The 22,285-nt window shown below is 48.9% G+C and overlaps 1 protein-coding gene and 1 long non-coding RNA gene across 4 annotated transcripts in view, besides 5 other annotated features; one reads left to right on the top strand and one right to left on the bottom strand.

Moving 5' to 3' along the window:
- Window positions 1–22,285, bottom strand: part of EPN2 (epsin 2) — a 99,350-nt gene that overhangs the window by 18,029 nt on the left and 59,036 nt on the right. For all 3 annotated transcript variants that reach the window (NM_014964.5, NM_148921.4, NM_001102664.2), the window contains 3 exons: window positions 8,690–8,802; window positions 6,543–6,635; window positions 5,408–5,582 (listed from right to left, as the gene is read on the bottom strand). In NM_014964.5, the coding sequence (NP_055779.2) occupies window positions 5,408–5,582; window positions 6,543–6,635; window positions 8,690–8,802 (381 nt within the window). The remainder of the gene's footprint in view (window positions 1–5,407; window positions 5,583–6,542; window positions 6,636–8,689; window positions 8,803–22,285) is intronic.
- Window positions 982–1,521: an enhancer, noted in NCBI's record as "OCT4-NANOG-H3K27ac-H3K4me1 hESC enhancer chr17:19220479-19221018 (GRCh37/hg19 assembly coordinates)". NCBI's record gives its function as "activates a minimal SCP1, AML or CMV promoter by ChIP-STARR-seq in primed H9 embryonic stem cells {active_cell/tissue: H9 hESC(primed)}" and the evidence as "EXISTENCE:reporter gene assay evidence [ECO:0000049][PMID:30033119]".
- Window positions 7,933–8,848: an enhancer, noted in NCBI's record as "H3K27ac-H3K4me1 hESC enhancer chr17:19213152-19214067 (GRCh37/hg19 assembly coordinates)". NCBI's record gives its function as "activates a minimal SCP1, AML or CMV promoter by ChIP-STARR-seq in primed H9 embryonic stem cells {active_cell/tissue: H9 hESC(primed)}" and the evidence as "EXISTENCE:reporter gene assay evidence [ECO:0000049][PMID:30033119]".
- Window positions 8,849–9,765: an enhancer, noted in NCBI's record as "H3K27ac-H3K4me1 hESC enhancer chr17:19212235-19213151 (GRCh37/hg19 assembly coordinates)". NCBI's record gives its function as "activates a minimal SCP1, AML or CMV promoter by ChIP-STARR-seq in primed H9 embryonic stem cells {active_cell/tissue: H9 hESC(primed)}" and the evidence as "EXISTENCE:reporter gene assay evidence [ECO:0000049][PMID:30033119]".
- Window positions 12,334–12,463: an enhancer, noted in NCBI's record as "active region_11853". NCBI's record gives its function as "activates an Ori minimal core promoter by ATAC-STARR-seq in GM12878 lymphoblastoid cells {active_cell/tissue: GM12878}" and the evidence as "EXISTENCE:reporter gene assay evidence [ECO:0000049][PMID:35858748]".
- On the top strand, window positions 12,426–22,091 carry EPN2-AS1 (EPN2 antisense RNA 1). The gene is made up of 3 exons (NR_048576.1): window positions 12,426–12,748; window positions 14,749–14,872; window positions 21,349–22,091. It is a non-coding gene; the product is annotated as an EPN2 antisense RNA 1 (long non-coding RNA).
- Window positions 14,292–14,491: an enhancer, noted in NCBI's record as "active region_11852". NCBI's record gives its function as "activates an Ori minimal core promoter by ATAC-STARR-seq in GM12878 lymphoblastoid cells {active_cell/tissue: GM12878}" and the evidence as "EXISTENCE:reporter gene assay evidence [ECO:0000049][PMID:35858748]".

The raw sequence follows: 22,285 nt of genomic DNA, 5'->3' as shown, positions 1-22,285 counted from the left end.
CTTTAGAATCTGCTATTAAAATAACAAACAACAGCACTGCTAAGAATTTTAAAACTCTGCAACTGTATCATGCACAATGTTGAAACTACAAGTTTTGGCTCAGAAAGAACCCCCTACTCTTTTTTTTTTTTTTTTTTGAGATGGAGTCTCGCTCTGTTGCCCACGCTGGAGTGCAGTGGCATGATCTCGGCTCACTGCAACCTCCGCCTCCCGGGTTCAAGCGATTCTCCCTGCCTCAGCCTCCCAAGTAGCTGGGATTACAAGTGCCCACCACTACGCCTGGCTAGTTTTTGTATTTTCAGTAGAGATGGGGTTTCACCATGTTGGCCAAGGATGGTCTCGATCTCTTGACCTCGTGATCCGCCCACCTCAGCCTCCCAAAATGCTGGGATTACAGGCGTCAGCCACCATGTCCAGCCAAGAACCCCCTACTCTTATAGCCCACACAGACAAAGTTGGTCACAGCCCAGACAGCTTTGAACATAGAGTGAAGTCTGTGCTTGAATCAAATCCTGACCACCTCCAAATCACCCAGGTAATCATGGACAAGCTGTTTGGCGTGGGTGGGCTCTGTCTAGTTTGCATTCTGCAAGTGACACTGGGGACCCATGTGTATAGGACACTGCAAACTGCTGGGCTGAATTCAGACTATACAAATGGGCAAAGCCCCCCAGACACATACAAAGTCCCGTGGCCAGTGTGACCTCCTTCTTTGCTGTGTGCGGGGGAGTCATGGAAGGTCACACACTGTGGCACCTTGCTTTCTTGAAATGTGACTTGGAGACAAAGTCACAAAGTCACAATCATTCCCTGAGGGCCAGCTGTACCCTCAGGGAACGCCTGCTGGCTCGGGGAGGCAATGGGCATGCTCCTCCTCTATGAATGGACAGTAGATCCGCTGCAAGGCTTCTCTCTGTGCTCTCCCTCTCCACGTCCTCGGCAGGGTCCAGGCCATGCCACATACCCAATCAATAAATGCTTGTTGAAAGCTCAAGTGAATGAGAGGAAACGAAGATGGAACCAAGGTTTGAAAGATCAAGCAGTTTCCGGCCTCTTCCTCTGTGGGGCCCATTCACAGGGAGCCTGTGTCCCGGTCGCCTCCCACCCGCCAGCCTGGCTCATCCCGAGCCTCACAGATGAATATTCATGTGCACAGGGAGGCAGTCACAACGCGGGGGGGTGGTGCGTCACAGAAGAACTGAGCCGTGCAGAGGTCACCAAGAAGCCAGTAGCACCACCTGCTGCTGCCAGGGCGGAAGACAGCCTCTGTCCCAGCCCAGGCAGTGGGCGGGAGTACAGAGAGAGGGCTCCAGCCAGCCAAGGTCTTCTGAATCAGCAGGCTATAAGCCCTCCTCAGACCAGGTGGCTGCTTTGTGTGTCTGGAACAGAGGAGGAAGCGCCCCACTGACCTGGCAGGCTCCAATCTCCCTCCTTTCAACCCTGAGCATTTCCTCCCAAGGCCACTTGGCCAAGTTGCTCCTAGTGCTGCTTGGAAAAAACTGGTAATGATGGGGCTCACTACAAATGGTGGCTTTCAAAACAGTGTTTCTTTCATCCAGAGGGCACAGCTAACACTGTTAGGGGAAGGGACTCCAATCTTTCTAATTTATGAATGAGTCTCAGGATGGAGGGGTGACCCTGAAAATTTGCACTATTGGATTTAACTAGATGCTAAACAATAAATCCAATACCACACTCTTGCTCTGAGGCTACGCTGATGGAATGTGGAAGCAGAGGGTGTGCTAACACGCTTCAGTGAATGCAGGAGCTAGCAGAGGGCCATTCTCCTGCAGAGCTGGTCAACACCACCACTGAGAAAAGAATCTCAGAATTAAAAGAAATCACTGTGATTTTAATGTATTTTTCTATTGAAAGCAGAGTGCCAGAACTGCAAAAACACCCCTATGAACATCACTAGGCTGCTTAGTAAATGATGGTACAGCGTGGTATTGTTTAGAATTTCTAATGATGCCTAGAAATGCTCATGACACTACAAATTGAAATATACACATACATACACACGTAATTATATATACAATATAGCTTCAACTGAGTAAAAACATAATGCCCAGAAAAAAGACAGGAAGCAGACAAGCTAACATTTTAACAGTGGCTATCTCTCCATATTGGAATTTGTGGTGACTTTTCCAGGACATGCCAGGGCCACAGAAGGGCCTTGCAGCAGTCCAGGATGGTGTGACAACTACAGGACATGGTGCCATAAGCACTGAGCCTGTCCCAAACCTATTAACAATGTCTATGGGCTTTGGTGGCCTATCTCCTCCCCAAGTCACTGGTAATAATGCCAAGTGCATCAGAACCAAGAAGGTCCTAGGCTGGGCAAGTGGCAAGAGATGGCCAACTGGCAGTCAACAAGCCACATGTGCCCATCCTCAGATAGCTTTTAATTAGCTCAAACCATATTCTTAATTTTTAAAATTCACAGCCAACATTTAAACACTAGATTTCAAAAATCCAGGTTTCTATCTTCTCTTTAAAAAACTGGATTCATAATAGCCAAAATGTGAAAACAGCCCAAATATCCATCAATTGCTGAATGGTTAAACGAAGTGTTGTATATCCATGCAATGGAATATTATTCATCCACAGAAAGTCATGAAGGACTGACACACGCTATAACATTGATGAACCTTGAAAACATGATGCTAAACAAAATAAGCCAGGCACAAAAGTCCACACAGTGCATGACTCCGTTTCTATGAAATGTCCAGAGAGGCAAATCCCTGGAGATAGAAAGCACATACTGGTTGCCAGGGCCTGGGTATGCGGTTTCTTTCTGGGGTGATGGAAATGTTCTGGAATTAGATATCTGATGGTGGCTGCACAACATTGTGAATGTGCTGAAAACCAGTGAAGTGTCCGCTTTAAAATGGTTGAAATGGGCCAGGAGCGGTGCCTCATGCCTGTAATCCCAACACTTTGGGAGGCCGAGGCAAGCGGATCACTTAAGGTCAGGAGTTTGAGACCAGCCCAGCCAACATGGTGAAACCCCGTCTCTACTAAAAATAAAAAACTAGTTGGTGTGGTGGCACAAGCCTGTAATCCCAGCTACTCAGGAGGATGAAGCAGGAGAATTGCTTGAACCTGGGAGGCGAAGGTTGCAATGAGCTAAGATGGTGCCACTGCACTCCAGCCTGGGCAATAGTGAGACTGTCTCAAAAAAAAGAAAAAAAAAAGTTGAAATGGTGAATTTTATCTCAAGTTCTTAAAATTTGGGAGGGCAGATTCACATGGGCAGCATTCCTAGGTGAAGCAGCAGCCCATCAAGCCCACCAAGTTGCCCCCATTCATCAGGGGAGACTCCTCCGCTCACACCCCCTGGACTCCTGTACCGAGTCTCACCCCAGGGTGCTCTCAACATGGTATTGCTATTACGCTATGTTCCTAGAGGGTCAGGTCAGGTCCTTGGCTCGGCCCAGAACACTGGGTCCAGGGCACAGCCCTGTTCACCAGCCAAAGGAGGGGCTGGGCATAACTTGGTCATTTAAAGATATTTTGAGATTTTTGTCTCTCCTGACTGGGAAAAACTTACCCCTGGTAAACAAGCCAAACAATATAAAAAGGTAAAGTGTTAAAACTAAGTCTCCTTCCCACCACTCTGATCCCCAATTCCCTCCCCAGAATTTAACTCTATTAAACCCACCTGGCTCCTGGTGTGACCACTTTCTTTACAGGGCACTAAGACAACTATCCGACAGTTTAATGAACAGTCTTTCCTGAAAACATCCTAACCATAACTTATGGTGGCCATCACTTTACAGACTAATCATTCTTCAGATTTAAAAATAAAGCCAAAGCCACTGTCTAAAAGGGTCTGCCAGCCCTGGGGCACCACAGTCCCCATGTGTGGTGAGTAAAACCATACCACAGGCTCCCTGGGGGTACCACACACAAGTGACAAACCTTGTGAACCAACCTCTTGAGCAGCCCTGGAACTGGCCTTCAGTCAATGAAAGCTGTGGGCAATTTTGCCTGGGGCTTTTCCCAAGGCCCAGAGGGCTCCTGCCAAAGGGGGTATAAGGCCCTGCCTGGGTTACAGAGGCCACCATCAAGCTATTGGAACTCACCAGATGCTAAAGGGCATCGGGGGCTGACAGTGTCTTCTGGACCAAGTCCAAGCACTTGGTAAGGCTGAGTGCAGGCCCTGAGTGATCTGGGCCCTTCTCCCCTGCTTCCCAGTTCACACCAGCTGGTTGCATCTGCACCCACTCCACCACTCCGTACCCCTCTGCTTCTCACACGCTGAGTCTTCTGCAGGGAACTCCCTGCCTCTTGGTGCCTGGACACCTTCTTTTCCCTGGGGACTCAACGGAAGTGGCCTTCCTCCAAAATGCTTACCTCACACTCCTGGACTCCTGTACTGAGTCTCATCTCATCCCAGGATGCTCTCAAATAACCTCCATCGAGTCCTGGACTACACAGTACTGCTATTACGCTGTGTTCCTGCCCTGCCCGCTCCTGAGCAGGGCCTTGACAACAGACAACAGGGACAATAATCACCTGTTGTCTCAGGGGTCATGCACAGCAGAACACAGCCTGTCACTTGGTACATTTTAGCAAACATCTAGGGAACCGAGTTAAACACAAGAGACGGTTCTGAGAGAAACAGAGACTCCAGGAGATACAGGCAAGATGCCACAAGATATACAAAGTTCCCAAACAGCCCACAGGTCAGCCACGCCCAGTAGGGTTTAGCACACCAGGAGGGGCCTCCCAGGGCACCAGGCCAGGAAGCCTTCATAAAGCCTGCTGGGCCATGCTCCTGCCCAGTGATTAAGAAACTCGTGGGCCCAAGATCATCACCCAAATCAAACCAGTTGTGTCATGCTCACATTTTGAACTTCCCACCACAATTCCTCTTACATCTCACATTAAGCAAAACTTTAAAATATTCATTTAGCCTATTAAACGGATTTTCTATTGCTTTAAGTAACAAGCAGAATTATAGCAAATGTATCCCCTTTTCATCAGCAGTGGTGGTAAGCACATCATAATTTCCATCTAATTACAGCAGCTTGATTTGGATGTTCCATGCTGTGTATTTTGGTTCCTTCAGCTGGGACGCTGGGTGTAACGCTGAGGCTGCAAGAGTTGAAACATGTCCCAGAGAAGGCACAAGCCATTTCTGATGCAAATGGGAGGTTGAGGGGAGGTTGACTTTCCTTCTCCCAAAGCAGAAAACCACTCAAAACAAAGAGGGAACACCATGCCACCATCCTCAAGGAGGAGGGCAAGGGCCAGTTGGATATCACTGCTGAGGGCTGGAGGAGCCTGGACACCCACCACAATCGACCAGACCCAAGTGGGTGAGAGACAGCAAGAAGCACTGCCCTGCCCCTCACCCATCCAGCAGGCAAGCACGGGAGACCAGTAATGGGGTCTTTACCAAACGATGGCCAGGGGTCTGAAGTACTCGCAGGAGCCGCTGGCCCGCCCCAGGGGTTGGTCTGGTTAGTGGAGGCTGACGGGCCCCAGGGCTCTGCTTTCTGGGCCGCGGGGCCCGAGCTGGGGAGAGCATCCATTAAATCCAACAGCGTAGTCTGCTGTGGGAGAGAGCCATGCTTTTAAGACAAAGAGAAGGGGACAGGTTTTACTATGCTACAGTTACAGCAAATACTCATGAACTAGCCATAAATATCACCCACCTGTGCCTCTTCCTCCAGTGAAGCCCTCTAGGAGGGGCTGAGAAGAACTTGGAAACTGAGCCGTCCCATCTCCCTCCCCGTCCAGCCAGCTCTCCAGTCACAACAAGCTATTTACTGTTTGCTAAACCCCCTCACCAGACTTCAGAGACCTCAGGGCTCAACAGACTTTTCCAGGCTAACACTGGCTTCTGCCCAGGCTGTGGACCTCCTCCAGAACGCCATCCCTCCCACCTGCCAGCCACCATCCAGGGCCAGCCTGAGGGCCCTCCTCCTCGGGCACCTGCATGCTCCCCACTCTCAAGACCACCCCATGTGTCATCAGGGATCATCAACATCAACCAGTCAGGAGCCAGGGGCTCCACCGGCCTCAGTAGCACTGTAACAGAGGAGGCCAATGGAGCCCCGGGGCCTGTGGTGTAGAAGGGGTCTGGGTCTTGACTGGATGATGATGAGCTTGTCAAGAGCCCAGCCATGTCCTGGTCATCTCTACATCACAGCAGGAAGCCTGGCACAGGGCTGAAGAGGCAACCAGCACTTCTGGGGGCACACCCTGCTGCAGGAAAGCGTTCCGCAGCCCCTGGCATGTAGCTCACTTGACAGCTGCCGTAGCCACAGCGGCAGGAGGCAGGCACTATCATCACCTCCATTTTACAAACGAGCAGACTGAGGCACTGGGACATTAAGTGTCTCCTGGTTAGTTCAGGTGTGTTTTCAGTCGCTTGCTCACCTGGCTCTCGCTCACTACAGGCATGAAGGTTATTTGCTGAGGTTGGAGAACTCACTGTGCATCACGCCATCCAGGCAAGTTGGTGGGGGGATATTGAGGCAACAACTACAGGACAGGGTGAAACATCTACCCTCCCAGCAAGCTCTTACCTCTTTCTTTTTTGGAATTTTAACTGTGTCCCTTCGGCTTTCTTCCAGGGCCATCTGTAATCTGAGGTCATCACCCCGCCTGAGGCGTTCTTCCTGTAGAGGGACAATGCAAACTGGTAATTGTAATAACATCACTGTACAGAACAAAGCCACACTGGCCAGAAACAGGAAATGCACATTGTATGATGCAGTATTTCAAAGGAAGATTTCAAAACTACTTGTAAAACACAATTACTTTCAAATCCCAAATGTGTGTGTACCCAGAAGGCCCCTCCCTCATGGCGACTCCTGTGACTTGGACCCCTGTGGGGTCACACCAGGGAGACTATGGCTCAGGTACCACCAAACTGGGGAAAGGGAATGCTTAATCTAAAATATTTTTTTCTCAAAATGAAACTGGCTTTATAAATTCTACTTATAGAAGCAATGTGTGTCCTTATAAAACACAAATCTGACAACCCAAAAAGGAATTAGAAAGAAGATAAAAATCACGTATCATTCCACCTCCACTGTGTATGCTTCCGGAAAATGGCTGCATATTTCTATGATTCCTAACAGAAATGATTCACTATCTTTATTTAAGGCAAAGTCACCATATGCAAAAGACAGGGTTGTCCTAAGCTTTTATATAATATAATAATTAAATATAAATAATATATTCCTTGTATTTTTTCTTTTCTTGTTTTTAAGAGATAGGGTCTCATGGTATTACCCAGGCTGCTACACAGTAGCTATTCACAGGGACAATGCCACTACTGATCAGCACGGGAGTTTGAACTTGCTCCCTTATATTTTATTATAAATATTAACTAAAATGGGCTCAAACCGTCCGTCTGTCCCTATGTTTCTCAGTGGATGCTACCACGCACCTTCTTCCTGGGCTGCTGGCCATGAAGCCACATGCATCCACCTGGGCAGTTACTGGTGGCCTGTTTCCCACTGCAGGGACAGAGAGGCCACAACTGAGATTGCCCACTGTCACTGAGCTTTAGAATGTTGCCAGTTATAGACACACAAACAATGCCGGGATGAACTTGTCAGTACTCAAATCTAACTATCCCCAGTATTCCTCTCTGAACACCAACTTCTAATAGAGGAGAGGAATCCCTGTGCTGCCCCTGGTCCCATCTACCTTTTTTAACCAAAGGTCATTGGAGACAGCCCTGATAACTGCAACCAAAGGCTTGACAATTTGTAAGGCCACTCTAATTGCTCCTTTCCCTTCTCGCTGTTGTAAAGTAATGCATGCTTACTAAAGAAAAATGGGGGCCAGGCACGGTGGCCCAAGACTGTACTCTCAGCACTTTGGGAGGCCGAGGTGGGCAGATCACTTGAGGTCAGAAGTTTGAGACCAGCCCGACCAACATGGTGAAACCCTGTCTCTACTAAAAATACAAAAATTAGCCGGGCATGGTGGCACGCGCCTGAAATCCCAGCTACTCGGGACGCTGAGGCACGAGAATCACTTGAACCCAGGACGCGGAGGTCTCAGGGAGCCAAGATTGCACCACTGCACTCCAGCCTGGGTGACAGAGTGAGACTCTGATTCAAAAAAAAAAAAAAAAAAAAAAAAGAAAGAAGGAGAAAGAGAGAAAGAAAAGAAAAGAGAAAAGAAAAGAAAAATGGGAACTGAAAAAAACTAAAACTATACATACTTCCATCATCAAAACACAAGCACTCTCATTTCGGGAGCATTTTTTCCCAGCCTTTGTTTTTTGCAAATCTCTTGCTACAGGTCAAAGTGCTTGGCGGGGGCTGGGCTGGCTCCTGCCCCTCAGGCCTGCATCCCTGCGCCCACCCTGCATGCCACCCTTCAAAGAGCCTGTGCAGGCTCAGCTCACTCAGGGAAAGCCCAGACACGTGTCTGCACAAGTGTTTCTGGGAAGCATTTTTAACTGGTTTCTTTCCTTGGCAATGACTTCCTAGAAAATCTTTCCTAAATGTAACTTTGCATGGGATCCCTCCCTGACTGGGAGGGACACTGGGTGACAAGAATACACACTTACGGCAGCATGAAATGCCATCTCAGCAAGCATATCTGAAATGTTTTGAAGACAGGGCTGTGTCTGCCATCTTCTTCCCAGTGAGCCACACTCCACCCTGAGCATGGGCAGTCAATGCAGTGCAGACCTGCCTGGGGCACTGACCTGCTCAGCCACTTCTCTGCTCATGGCAAGTGCCAGCTGCAGCTGAAGCTCCTCTTCTCCACTAGTCTGGGGCCGGGCTTGCTCCAGCTCGGAGGACACTCGCGGGGAGGTGGCTGTTGGGGAAGACCAAGTCATCATATGCAAAAGACAAGGCTGATACAGCTCCTGCACAGCAGTTTCCTGGGCAGACCACATTCCATTCCCATCTCAAACCCGCAAGGTCCAGCAGTAGCCCAACAATGCAGGCAGAGGAAAGGAAAGGCTTACAAATATTTGAATGTTAAAATCAAGTGACAGTCAAACGTAGCTTTCCCAACTACAGAAGTCCCCTGGTACCAACCAAGAGAAGATGCCTTTGGGTATGCAAGCCCCAGCCATCAGGCCTCACAAGGATCAGAACCTCAGTCTTCACGGCAGATCTGCAGTGCTCCAAAAAAGGAACTAACTCAAAGACCCAAAGTATAGCTCTTGAACAGATGAACCAAAGAGCATCCTTCAAACAGGTGGAGGGCATCTGGAGACCAAAGACTCCACTCCAGGCACACCAACATTCAAGAGCTGACTTTTGAGGCCAGGCGCGGTGGCTCACGCCTATAATCCTCACACTTTGGGAGGCCGAGGCGGGCGGATCACAAGGTCAAGAGATCGAGACCATCCTGGCCAACATGGTGAAACGCCATCTCTACTAAAAATACAAAAATTAGCTGGGCATGGTGGCGTGTGCCTATAATCCCAGCTAGCAGGAGAATCACTTAGAGACCCGGGATATGGAGGTTGCAGTGAGCCAAGATCTCGCCACTGCACTCCAGCCTAGTGACAGAGCGAGACTCCGTCTCAAAAAAAAAAAAAAAAAAAGAGTTGACCTTTGTCTCTCGTAGTGTTACTACGAGATCATGGAAAATGAAGCCCGCCCATTTCTGCAGTGACCCCAAACATTTTCGTTCTGTAAGCAGCTTTGTACACTGATTAGAAAGAAATGCAGATAAAAATGCAGACACTTTTGCTGTGCACTTAGCTAGTTTAAATACTTCTAAGCAGCTCCTGGAAAGACAGTTTTTATTGAATGAATGAGATGTGAACTCCTAGCTGATGTAACAAACCCCACGGGAGTCTTAACATTCACAACATAAACCATGGTGCTGGGTGCTGGGGCTTACACAGCCATCAGGATGTTTCACGATCAGGGAATCTAAATGCTTTTAGAAATTATTGTAGTTTTAGAAGTATGTGCCCACCTCTGCCCCCGTTTCAGGAAGGGTCCATAGCTTCTCTAAAACTCTCAGAACAAGACCTGCCCTCTGAGAGATTTGGAGCTACTGCTTTAGATGGTTCCTTGCCCTGTCCTCCTCCCGGGTCTCCGTGCAGGCTGTTCCCTCAGCGCACCCACCTCCTCTTTTGTAGTCAGAGCTCGGCTTCCCGGACCTGGTCCTTCCCCTCCATCCTGATGCTGTGTCAGACTCTGCACCTCTGCACCTCTCCCTTGTAGCACTCACCCCTGGCTGACAAACACCTGTTGGGTGGAGGCTTACATGCATGCACAGACAGGTGCATGCACAGGTCGACAGATGGACAACTACAGAATTCAATTTCATGGTTAACGGGTCATTTTAAAATGTTCTAATTGTGCCGGGCATGGCGGCTTATGCCTGTAATCCTAGCACTTTGGGAGGCTGAGACGGGCGGATCACCTGAGGCCAGGAGTTCTAGACAAGCCTGGCCAAAATGGTAAAACCCGGTCTCTACTAAAAACACAAAAATTAGCTGGGTGTGGTGGCGGGCGCCAGTAATCCCAACTACTTGGGAGGCTGAGGCAGGAGAATTGCTTGAACACAGAAGGCAGAGGTTGCAGTGAGCCAAGATCAAGCTACTGCACTCCAGCCTGGGCAAAAGAGCAAGACTGCATCTCAAAAAATAAATAAATGTTCTAATTGTGTATTAGTTTACTTCCTTCTTTCATTACATCTATTTTAGGAAACCTAACTAGCAGGATTCATTCACCTAGGTGTTGCTTCTGCCTTACTTTCCAATCTAAATTTGCTTCTTAGGGTTTTCCTCTTTGAGAGAAACTAAAAGGTTAGGAATAATTCCTGACAAAGGAGGCTTTCAGATAGCTGGGCCATGGCTATGGTGAATAAAACAGGGGAAGAGGCCTAAATGCAATTCAGGCCACAGACGGGATCCACAGAAGAACCAGGGGAGGTAGAAAGAGGCTGCTTCTGGGCAGAGGGCTGAGGTGGGGCCGGGCAGGAGACTGGGAACTTCTCTACCATGTGAGGTTGCCAAGCAGAGGCATCACCCTGTCATGAAATTCTTAAAAACACACAAAACATATAGCAATAAATTTACTTTGGAACGGGCCGGGCACAGTGGCTCACGCCTGTAATCCCAGCACTTCGGGATGCCGAGGCAGGCAGATCACGAGGTCAGGAGATCGAGACCATTCTAGCTACGAGGTCAGGAGATTGAGACCATCCTAGCTAACATGATGAAACCTCATCTCTACTAAAAATACAAAATAAATTAGCCGGGCATGGTGGTGGGCACCCATAATCCCAGCTACTCAGGAGGCTGAGGTAGGAAAATGGCATGAACCCAAGAGGCAGAGCTTGCAGTGAGCTGAGATCGCGCCACTGCACTCCAGCCTGGGTGACAGAGCGAGACTCCATCTCCAAAAAAAAAAGAAAGTTGCAGCTATAAAAACATAAATGTATTTTTCTAAATAAAATCAAGTCAAATCCCATCCTAGTGTTATCACTCAATTATATTTCCCAAAGTATCTCTTCAGAAATAAAGCTAGAGGGTAAAGAAAAGTCCTCAATCCACCTTAACAACTTGATTTCTTAATAATACACCAAAACAAAAAGTATATTTTTTTGTTCGTTTTGTTCCTAAACTTCACCTATGCCAATCAGAACTCTCAAGTTTGGGCTTTCCTATGTTCAAAAAGATGTCACCATCCACATGGAAGAGAATAAAGGAAGCCAGACAGTTCCTGGGGACTCTTCTCAAGTGAACAGGGCACTCACACCCAAATCATTAACCACTCCAGCCACCTGTTCCCAGCCTCTTTCCTGATAAGGAATCTCTGAGGCTTGGTTCACAAAACCCTTGCTATAAAGCAAATATTGCACTTACGACATCCTTCATTTACTACCAAATGGAAACCACAAATGAATCAAGTAGAAGGCTCATATCCCACCCCACCCCAAAAAAAGTGCTCTGGAAAACAAGCCCCATCCTGGCAGGGAAGCTGGTACTGAGTTGCACAGCTACAGTGCCTGATACAGCCAGGTTGGAGGGGGAGAGTGGGCACGGGGCTCTGAACTGGACCTGCTGGAGAAGTGAGGCCTCCTTTGTCCTCTGAGCTTTCTAGCACATCTGCAAGGCCAGAATAGCTTCAAATGCAAATGTACATGTTTACGTCTACCATAACTGACACTGTTAGAATAACGCACAGCTGGCACATACTGGCTCACCACATCATAGCTCGTCACATCAATGTAGAAATTAAAGACAATGGGTATTCCCCTGAATGTTGTGGTTTTCATAAACGGATGTACAGCTTTCAGTTCTGCAGATGGCAGAATTCTTGGCCACCAACCATTGAACATCAGCTGAGCTACACACAACGGGACTGAGCTTCGAGGGAGGATTCCAGCAGAGATATTCTTGCCTTGGTGACAGCAACTCAGCTCCACAAAGGGCCTCTTGTGCCCATGCACATGACAGTGAACACAGACGTCGTTGTGAGACAGGCCTGAATGGGCCCTTCTGACCACCTGAGCCTGGCCTTGGCTCTGCTCTGAGGATCTGAAGGTTCAGAGCTCACAGGGACCAAGGGAAAAAGCAAGTGCTGGGGGATGTGCCACTCTCTCATTGTTGCAGGTTGCTTTCCCAGACACTCACTGGAAGGAAGAACGGGAATTGTTAGTTTAAGCTCATCACTAAAGTCGCATCAAATGCACGGACCTTCTCCCAGGAAGGCGGCCTTTTGCATTATGAACCCCACTGGAAGAGCTCCAAGTCTTCACTTGCTGTGGTCAAGAACTGTAACCACAGGTAGGCCTTATTTCTATCCTTTCCAGTCTGTCACACCAGCTGAGAAAAAGCCTAAGGGGGAGAGGCTGAGTAGGAAGGCTAGAAAAGCCCAACATTTCCCTCAAAATACAATCTAAAAAGAAGACCAAGAAAACTCTCCCAACTCAGGCAGACAAGGGTCTCTCCCACTCGAGTCCACCCTGTCTGCTCCAGGGACTGCCCGGCAGAGCCTGGGTGCCTGTACTCTGTGCTGGGGGAGAGACACCCTTTCCCAAATGCGCTCCTAAAACAAAGGGTGAAAGATTTTTTAATAAAGATGCTTCAGTGGGCCACTTTCAGGTAACTGTGAAAGAAGGCAATCGAGTTGGTAGAAAAACAGGAAATTGATTCTTATCAGCTACATTTTGCAATTTTCCTAGAAAGTATGGAAGCAGCATCTGCCAGTCACATAGTGCTGATTAAAAAGCCTCCTCTAATCTGCATGGATAGGTCAAACAGAAAGAAAGTGGCAAGTACAAAAAACACAAATGTAGGCTAGGCATGGTGGCTCATGCTTGTAATGATGTCACAGCACTTTGGGAGACCGAAGGGGGTGGATCACTTGAGGCCAGGAGTTCGAGATCAGCCTGGCCAACGAGGGCAAAACCCTGTCTCTACTAAACATACAAAATTTAGCTGGGTGTGGTGGCACGTGCCTGTAGTCCCAGCTACCCAGGAGGCTGAGGCATGAAAATCACTTGAACTAAGCAGGTGGAGGTTGCAGCGAGCCAAGATCATACCACTGCACTCCAGCCTGGGCAACAGAGCAAGACTGTCTCAAAAAAAAAAAAAAAAAAAAAAAACCAAAGTATATTTTTACATTTTACAGCACATGGGACAGGATTCTACCATCAAATGGCTCTGTGCAGTGGGCAGCATGACTGCACTGGTACGTGAGCGTCACAGACCCTGTGGAGAAGGCAGGGTGAGGTCCTGGTTTTCCTATGTCCCTGGGCCTGGTGTGGCAATGCTGGGTACACAGGCATGTCTGACAACTCAGAAAAAATGAAAGGTTGCCAGGCCTTGGGGGCGTGAGAAGACCCCATGTGGGCCCAAGCACTGCTACCACCTCTCACACCCTGTGCATGTCAGCCAAGGGAAGACCAGATAGTGGAAAGAGCACTGGACGGACAAATCTTGTCCCCACCGCTGACAAGCAGTGGGAGTCCATGTGATAGCCTGACCTCTTTGAGCTTCTGCTCCCACATCAGTGAAATGAAGACAGTGGGGCCTGTGGGAGGAGGTAAACAACTGACCTACCAAGGGGTCAGGAGTGCTGGGATGCAGTTGGCTCTTCCCTGTGGATTCCAGCCCTGTCCTGAGCTGGTGCTCTTTCCTCCATCCATGGGGACCAGACCACCTGAGGGCTAAGCTCCTTCAGACACCCCACCCTCCACGTCACACACAGAAAGCGTGGCCCTTCCCAGGCCTCCGAGGAACAGGCCTGGGGTTGCTTTCTGCTGGGCTGACCTACTTCGAGGGAGGGGCTAGGGAGCCAGCACTGAGCACAGGGTCAGCGTCCACTGTCCAGTGGCCAGTTCTCTAGTTCAGCTAAGTTCCTTCCTTGTTACTGAACAGCAGTGAAACGCTTCCTCAATGTGGTGACATCATCCTGTGGTTCCAGGGGCCACTTCCTGAATCAGCAATGACCTTGGCTACTGAGGACGTTCCTGCCACTTCTCAACACAGGAGAGCCTCCAAGGCCCTTACTTTACCTCCTCGCAGGGAGATGCTGGGAAGGCTGCTTTTAGTCTAACGAGGCAAATTATAAAAAAGTTAAGTTCAGATTACACCAGGTTATTTATTTATTTATTTTTTGAGACGGAGTCTCACTCTGTCACCTAGACTGGAGTGCAATGGAGTGGTCTCAGATCACTTCAACCTCCACCTCCCGAGTTCAAGCGATTCTCCTGCCTCAGCCTCCTGAGTAGCTGGGACTACAGGCACGCACCACCACATCCAGCTAATTTTTGTATTTTTAGGAGAGACGGGATTTCACTATGTTGGCCAGGCTGGTCTTGAACTCCTAACCTCGTGATCTGCCTGCCTCGGCCTCCCAAACTGCTGGGATTACAGGCGTGAGCCACCCCACCCGGACTACACCAGGTAATATTTAACAGGAACATATATATATATGTGATGCAAAAGACAAAAAGGTGTATAATGAAAAATGCAATGAAGCATGACCACAGCCAGATCACTGTCCAGCCACAAGGTGGATGTGACTTTACAACACAGGGACAAACCACAAAGTTATTTTGTGCTGTGGCCAACGCTGGCACTATCGGTGGTGGGAGGGCTGCCTGTCAGGTGACGTCATACCCCCATCTATGACAGTCCCAGCAAAACGCTGATGTGCACAGAATCCAGACTCTAGCCGTGATTCCGGTTCTCAGGAAGCTCAGGGTGAGGGCCAGGCTGAGCATGGTGAGAGGCAGCAGACAGATCCAGGCCAGGGACAGACATCCCGAAGGAAGGCTGGCCCGGAGAAATGGAGAACGTGCTGCCATGACACAGACTGCAGGGACAGGATGGCCAGACTCAGCCTGGGGTCCTGGGGTGGACTCACATTAGGCTGATCAGCAGCAAGACACTTTCAGACAACTTGAAAAATGTGACCATGACCTCAGCGTGAGATGATGCTGCTAATTTCCCATTTTGTGAGGTGTGTGACTGTGTGTGTGACAGTGGCTGTGTGACTCTCCAGGAAGAGATGTGTACTGAAGCATTTAGGGGAGTAATGTGAGGATACCCACAACTTATTCTTAAATATTTCAGCATAAAAGGAAGTGAGAGCTACTCCTCTCATCCTGCCCCACTGCTCTCCCCAGAGGAAACAGCTGTTCACATTTTCTTGTGCTTCCACCCAGGAAAGCGACTGAACGCACACTCTGTGTGTGGATGCCTGTAGTGCGCTTCCGTCTCTGACACTCGCCCAGAGGGAACTCTTCCTCCCTGCCCTATGTGCTTCTCCCACCTGGGCCTGACCCCAGGCCGAGTGTCATCAGCCTGAGAGAGCAGCCCAGTGTGGCAGACGAGAGCACGGGCCCTCAAGTCCATGCCTGGGCTCAGATCTGGGCTCTGCCACTTCTTAATGCATGACCTTGGCCTAGGTCAGCTGTCCCCAACCTTTCTGGCACCAGACACTGGTTTAGTGGAAGACAATTTTTCCACGGCCAGGGGTGGGGTCGGGGATGGTTTCAGGATGATTCAAGCACATTACATTTATTGTGCACTTTATTTCTATTATTATTACATTGTAATATAGAATGAAATAATTCTACAACTCACCATAATATAGAATCAGTGGGAGCCCTGAGCTTGTTTCCTTGCAACTACACAGTTCCATCTGGGGGTGATGGGAAACACTGACCATCAGGCATTAGATTCTCATAAGGAGCATACAACCTAGATCCCTCACATGTGCAGTTCACAATAAGGTTTGCGCTCCTATGAGAATCTAATGCCACTGCTGATTTGACAGGAGGTGGAGCTCAGACAGTAATGCAAGTGATGGGGAGCGGCTATAAATACAGATGAAGCTTTGGGTCTGTGGCCCGGAGGTTGGGGACCCCTGGCCTAGGTGATTACCTTCTCAGTGCCTGTTTTCTCATCTGCAGAATGGGGACGGGAAACCGTCTCCCAGGGTTGTTGTGGGGAACGAACAAGAAGCGATGTGAAAATCACCCACTGCCTGTGCAACACTGTCTCTCGAGGAACCCTCCATCCATAAGGGGGTGCTGCCCCACTTACAGTCCAGGCTGAGGCCTAGGGGTGCAGTGACTGTCCCAAGGCCACCCAGCTGGGGCAGGTGGAGTCTGACCCTGAAGGTCTGGCTCTTCATTACCAACCCTTCCCACTGATGAGGACACCGGGGCCCAGAGAGGGTAAATGGCTGCGGCTCACAGCCGCCCAGGGGCAGGATGAGAACTCAGAGCCAAGACTCAGGACCTATGCCCCACGCTTGCTCCTAGCACCCTAAAGGGGCTTTGCACCCTCAGTCAGTTACATGCGCACACCCACACCAAGCAGGGCCTCCTCTAGGCCTGAGGAAAGTCCCTGTTCCCATGAGCTTGTGTTCTAGTAAGGAGAGACCATAAACAAATCTAAAAAGGAGGGACAGGGCAGGGCAGGGTGGGGAAGAGGAGAGCTTGCTCAGCTATGCTCTGACAGGAGGCGATGGCACAGAGCCCTGGAAGGAACGGCAAAAGGGCAGGGGCACTTCTGTTCTGAGAGCAGGGGACAGGCTCTGAGGCTAGTGTCAGCAGAGGCACCCAAGGGCACATGACCAAAGAGTGGTGGGGGTTCAGAAGCCGTCAGAGGTGCTTTGGAGAGTCTTAAGTGGGGCAGTGATGCCACTTGACTGGTCTAGGGAACTTGGGCCAGAAAAGTAGCTATGAAGGGGATGAGAAGTGGCCAGAGTCTGGACACATTTAATTGGGATCCTATGTATGACACCTGGTTCCTGAATCAGCTAGTGTGTCATGCTGCCACATGGTGTGGACTCAGCACTTACAGTGCCTTCTTCTGACCAGGGGTTATGGGCAGAACTGGGTCCCCCGTAAAGTAGGATGAAGAACATGACCTTATTTGTAAACAGGGTAGCTGCAGATGTAATTAGTGAAGATATAATTAGTGAAGATGAGGTCATACTGGAGCAAGATGGGCCCTAGAGTCAATAGAACTAGTGTCCTTAGAAGAGATAGAAACACAGACACACCAGGGGAGACTGCCATGGGACCATGGAGGCAGAGACTGGGGTGACACAGCAGCTAGCCAAGTAACACTGGGCCCTGCTCGCTTCCCATCCTCCCCCAGCACCTGCCACGCAGGCTCCTTCCTGCCTCGAGCCTTTGCTTGCCCGCTGCTCCCTCACACTGTGTATGCTGCTCGTGGTCCTCGAATGGGAAGGAGAACCGCATCCTCATCCCTAAGTATCAGCTCTAAGGCCACCTTCTCACTGCGCCTCCCCTGGCTGTGTTATCAGGCCAGTCTCTCATCAGACTGGGAGCTCCACAGGGCAGGGGGTCCATCCGTTTTGTTACTTAACACCTTGATACCTGGAGCTGGCCTTGGCGCACAGGGAGCACTTGGTGGATGTGGAGGCCAAAGCAGCTCCATCTTGGAGGCTAATTCACCATGCTGGCTTCTGATTAATCCCAGTTCCAGGAAGGCCTCCAAGATTGACAGTTTGCCGGGTGCCGGTGGCTCATGCCTGTAATCCCAGCACTTTGGGAGGCCAAGGCGGATGGATCACCTGAGGTCAGGAGTTCGAGACCAGCCTGACCAACATGGAGAAACCCCGTCTCTACTAAAAATACAAAATTAGCCAGGCGTGGTGACAGGCGCCTGTAATCCCAGCTACTTGGGAGGCTGAGGCAGGAGAATCGCCTGAACCCAGGAGGCGGAGGCTGCAGTGAGCCGAGATTGCACCACTGCACTCCAGCTTGGGCAACAAGAGCGACTCTGTCTCCAAAAAAAAAAAAAAAAAAAGATTTACAGTTTATTGTTTTTATGTAAGAGCACATACTTACCTTAAATCCTATCTTTAGGTCAAACTACCTTAATGTTATCATACTTCAAATATCCTACACATTCTTTCTGAACCACTCCTTCCCTATGGCATATAAGCCCTGGCTCTGGGGGCTAATGGCGTGGGATCTGACACCTTGTCTCACCACTTCCTGAGAGAAACATGGCTTCTGCTCCTAAGTCCCTGTTTCTTTCTAAGAAACTGGATTTGTCAGCCTCCTTCCTTGGCCCCTCCGCTTCTCCGGACATTGGGGGTAGATTTGCATAGACCTGCCCACCACGGAACCATGGGGCAGCTAGGTGGCACCTAGGCTGCAGCCCTGATCACCTGTAGCTGCATGTTCTAATCCGTTCAACTGCTTCCAGCCGGCCATCTGCCCAAGTGGGCGGAAAGCAGGGGCCACGTCAGCTTTACTTCTGGCACAAAGTAGGTGCTCAAACACCCATCAGATAATGGTCAAGTTTAGTTTCTGGTGAAAACAAATAATGGCTCTAACTTCTCCACTACCCCTCTGCAACACTGGTACCGCTGCCTCAGTTTACAGAGGAGGAAGCTGAAATACCAGGTGAAAAAAGGGAGAGCCCCAACAATGACCACGTTATGGCCCCAATGCAGGGCTGGTGAAAGAGGCAGGAGGGTAAAGCAGAGACAAAAGGCAGTCCATTCATTTGTCTGCATGAGTCAAATCCCATCCTCAGTCAGAAAAAAGCAAGTTGTGCCATTCTCTTCGGGCTGTTATTAAACTCTCTCCTACAGTAAGAGCACCAGCTTGTTGGGTGGGAAAGGAAGGACTTAGCCAAAACACTAAGCAGCTTTTTCTCACTGTCATTTACCTCAGGAGTCCCTGAGCTTCCTGCTGCTTCTGTCCATAGTGAAAGTAACAAAGCTACAGCCTGTCATTCTCTAGGTAGAGTGCTGGGGCAGGGGTCTCATCATGGCTGGGGACCAGCAGTAAGGAAAAGAGGACCTGCAGCCTCACCCTGAGCCACCCGCAGCTCTCCAGGCGTAAGCCAGGGTGGGAGGAGGGGTTCTGAAGCCCAGGCAGTGCCAGCTGAGGTGAGCGGGCACTTCAACAAAGATAATCATTTATCTCTTTTTTAATTCAATCATAAACTTCAAAGAAGTTAAATGCCTGCAACAATTTCTTAGAGTAATACTTATAAACAGGAAACTCATTTTTAAAATTAGTATTCTGATAGTAATTTTCATCTATTCAATTGGAAATAATCGATTACAAAATTATAGCACCTGCTGTGGGCTCAGGGGCTCCCAATTGAGCACTCTCCTTCACTGCTGGGGGGAAAGCATTTGTTTGGAAACAGTCTGTTTGGAAAACATTTGTCATGCTTCAAGAAACAGAATGTTCATACACTTTTCCCACTAATCTCACTTCTGGGAATTCCACATTGAAGAAATAATCCAAAGAATCCTTAAAAAAAGAAAAAAACAAGCTTTCTGTTCAAAGAAGTTTACCACAGCATTATTTACACTGGTGAAAATCTGAAACAAGTCTGATCATAAGAATTAACAGTGACAGGGCCACTTCTGGAGCATTTCTTGTGTGCAAGCTGGTATGTGAAGTGCATACATTATTAGCATATGTAACGTACACAATAACCCGGGAGAGAAGCACTATGGTTACGTCCATTTTACAAGTTACAACTTCTCCAAGTTAAATTAAGTAAGCTGCCAAAGGTTTAACCTTTAAAACTAAGTGTTGCTGGGCTCGGTAGCGGGTGTCTGTAGTCCCAAGCTACTCAAGAGGCTGAGATGGGAAGATCCCTTGTGCCCAGGAGTTTGAAGATACAGTGAGGTAGAATCACAACACCGCTCCAGCCAGCCTGAGTGATATAGCGAGACCCCAGCTCTAAAAAAAACATAAATAGGCCGGGTGCCGTGGCTCACGCCTATAATTCCAACACTTTGGGAAGCTGACCTTGAGGTGGGCAGGATCACATGAGGTCAGGAGTTTGAGACCAGCCTAGCCAAAATGGCAAAACCCCATCTCTACTAAAAATACAAAAAATTAATTGGGCATGGTGGCACACACCTATAATCCCAACTACTCAGCAGGCTGAGGCAGGAGAATCACTTGAACCTGGGGGGCGGAGGTTGCAGTGAGCAGAAATCGTGCCATTGCACTCCAGCCTGGACAACAGAGCAAGACTGTGTCTCAAAAAGATAAATAAAAATAAATTAAAAATACATAAATGAGGCTGGGCGTGGTGGCTCACGCCTGTAATCCCAGCACTTTGGGAGGCCGAGGAGGGCAGATCACGAGGTCAGGAGTTCAAGACCAGTCTGGCCAATATGGTGAAACCCCATCTCTACTAAAAATACAAAAATTAGCTGGGCATGGTGGCGTGCACCTGTACTCCCAGCTACTCGGGAGGCTGGGGCAAAAGAATCGCTTGAACCCAGGAGGCAGGGCTGCAGTGAGCCGAGATCGTGCCACTGGGTGACAGAGTGAGACTCTGTCTCAAAAAAACAAAACAAAACAAAATACATAAATGAATCGATAAATAAATATAACTAAGTATCTAGCAACATGGAAAATGCATAGAGTTAGATTTTTTCAAAAAAATCAAACTGCATAATTGTCCTATTTCTCATGGGCACCCTCTGTGGCCAAGTGCACCAAGGTCACTGCTCCTGCCCTCCTAGTTTAGGCCCCCCAGTGGCTTGCCCTTGGCCTCATGCTCCCTCGCAAACTGGGATGATGACAAGTGAAGGGCTACAGCAGCTCCATAGTTTACAGCCACTCTGCACTGCCTGCCTGAACACCACCTTCCCCCACACCCAGCACCACACGGTGTCGGTATGTCTGCCTCTCTTAAATGGGGCCCACCAAAAACAAGGTCTCAGCTACCAGCTGCAAGCCCCTGAAAGCTTAGGGCTGGCCCTCACACACATGAGTGCAGAAAGTGAGCACATGAACCAACTTTTTGGAAAATATGTTTTGAAAATGTCACACGGTTGTGAATGACATGTCCATAATACTGTTATACTATCTGCATAATATAAAATGTTAGATCTGCTTTGTTTTCAGACCTATGATTCAGATCTGTCAGCACTTTTGGGGATGTGGGTCTTGCCCTGGCCTTCAGTTCCTCTCCAGATTAAGAACCTGCATGCTTTGCCCACAGACAGATGGCTACAACAAAACTGCACAACTTGGTAGATCCCGACTGCCAGTGGTCAGTCTATGCAGCCAGGGCCCTGTCACTAAAATCTGTAGGCTGTTCAGTGTGAAGATGAGGAGTGACTGACAGTCCAACGTCAGGGCAAGGATGACTTAGGGATCTTCACCCAGAGGAATACTATGTACAACTGTTAAAATGTTTACAGGGTGTGTAGGAACCACAGAAAATGCTTCTGTTTCAATGTCACAAGACAAAAAGCAGGAATGCAAAGTTGCGTTCACAGTGTGAAAAAGAAAATGCTTGGGAAAAAGTCCAGAAGGAACTACACCAACACGTGGCCAGGCATGATGGCTCAGTCCCGTAACCCCAGCACTTTGCGAGGCCACAGCAGGAGGATTGCTTGAGGCCAGGAGTTCCAGATCAGCCTGGCCAACATAGGAAGACCTCGTCTCTACTAAAAATTAAAAATTCGGCTGCGTGTGGTGGTGTGCGCCTGTACTTCCAGCTACTAGGCAAGGCTGAGGTAGAAGGATCGTTTGAACCTAGGAGTTCGAGGCTGCATGGGCCATGATTGTGCCACAATGCTCCAGCCTGGGCAACAGCAAGACACTGTCTCAAAACAAATAAATAAAAATAAAAATAAATACACCAACATGTGAATAACAGTTGTCTTTGCATATTATAGTTAAGATTGAAGGATTTTTTTCTTCTTTTTCTATTTCTATTTTTTTTGCATTTTCCCAATTATCATGAATGGACATACATTATTACATTTGTACCAAAAATCTAGCAGGAGCCAGGCGCAGTGGCTCACGTCTGTAATCCCAGCACTTTGGGAGGCAG

This window comes from Homo sapiens, chromosome 17 (assembly GCF_000001405.40).
Source record: "Homo sapiens chromosome 17, GRCh38.p14 Primary Assembly".
Taxonomy (NCBI): domain Eukaryota; kingdom Metazoa; phylum Chordata; class Mammalia; order Primates; family Hominidae; genus Homo; species Homo sapiens.
This window is presented reverse-complemented; position numbering and strand designations above follow the sequence as displayed.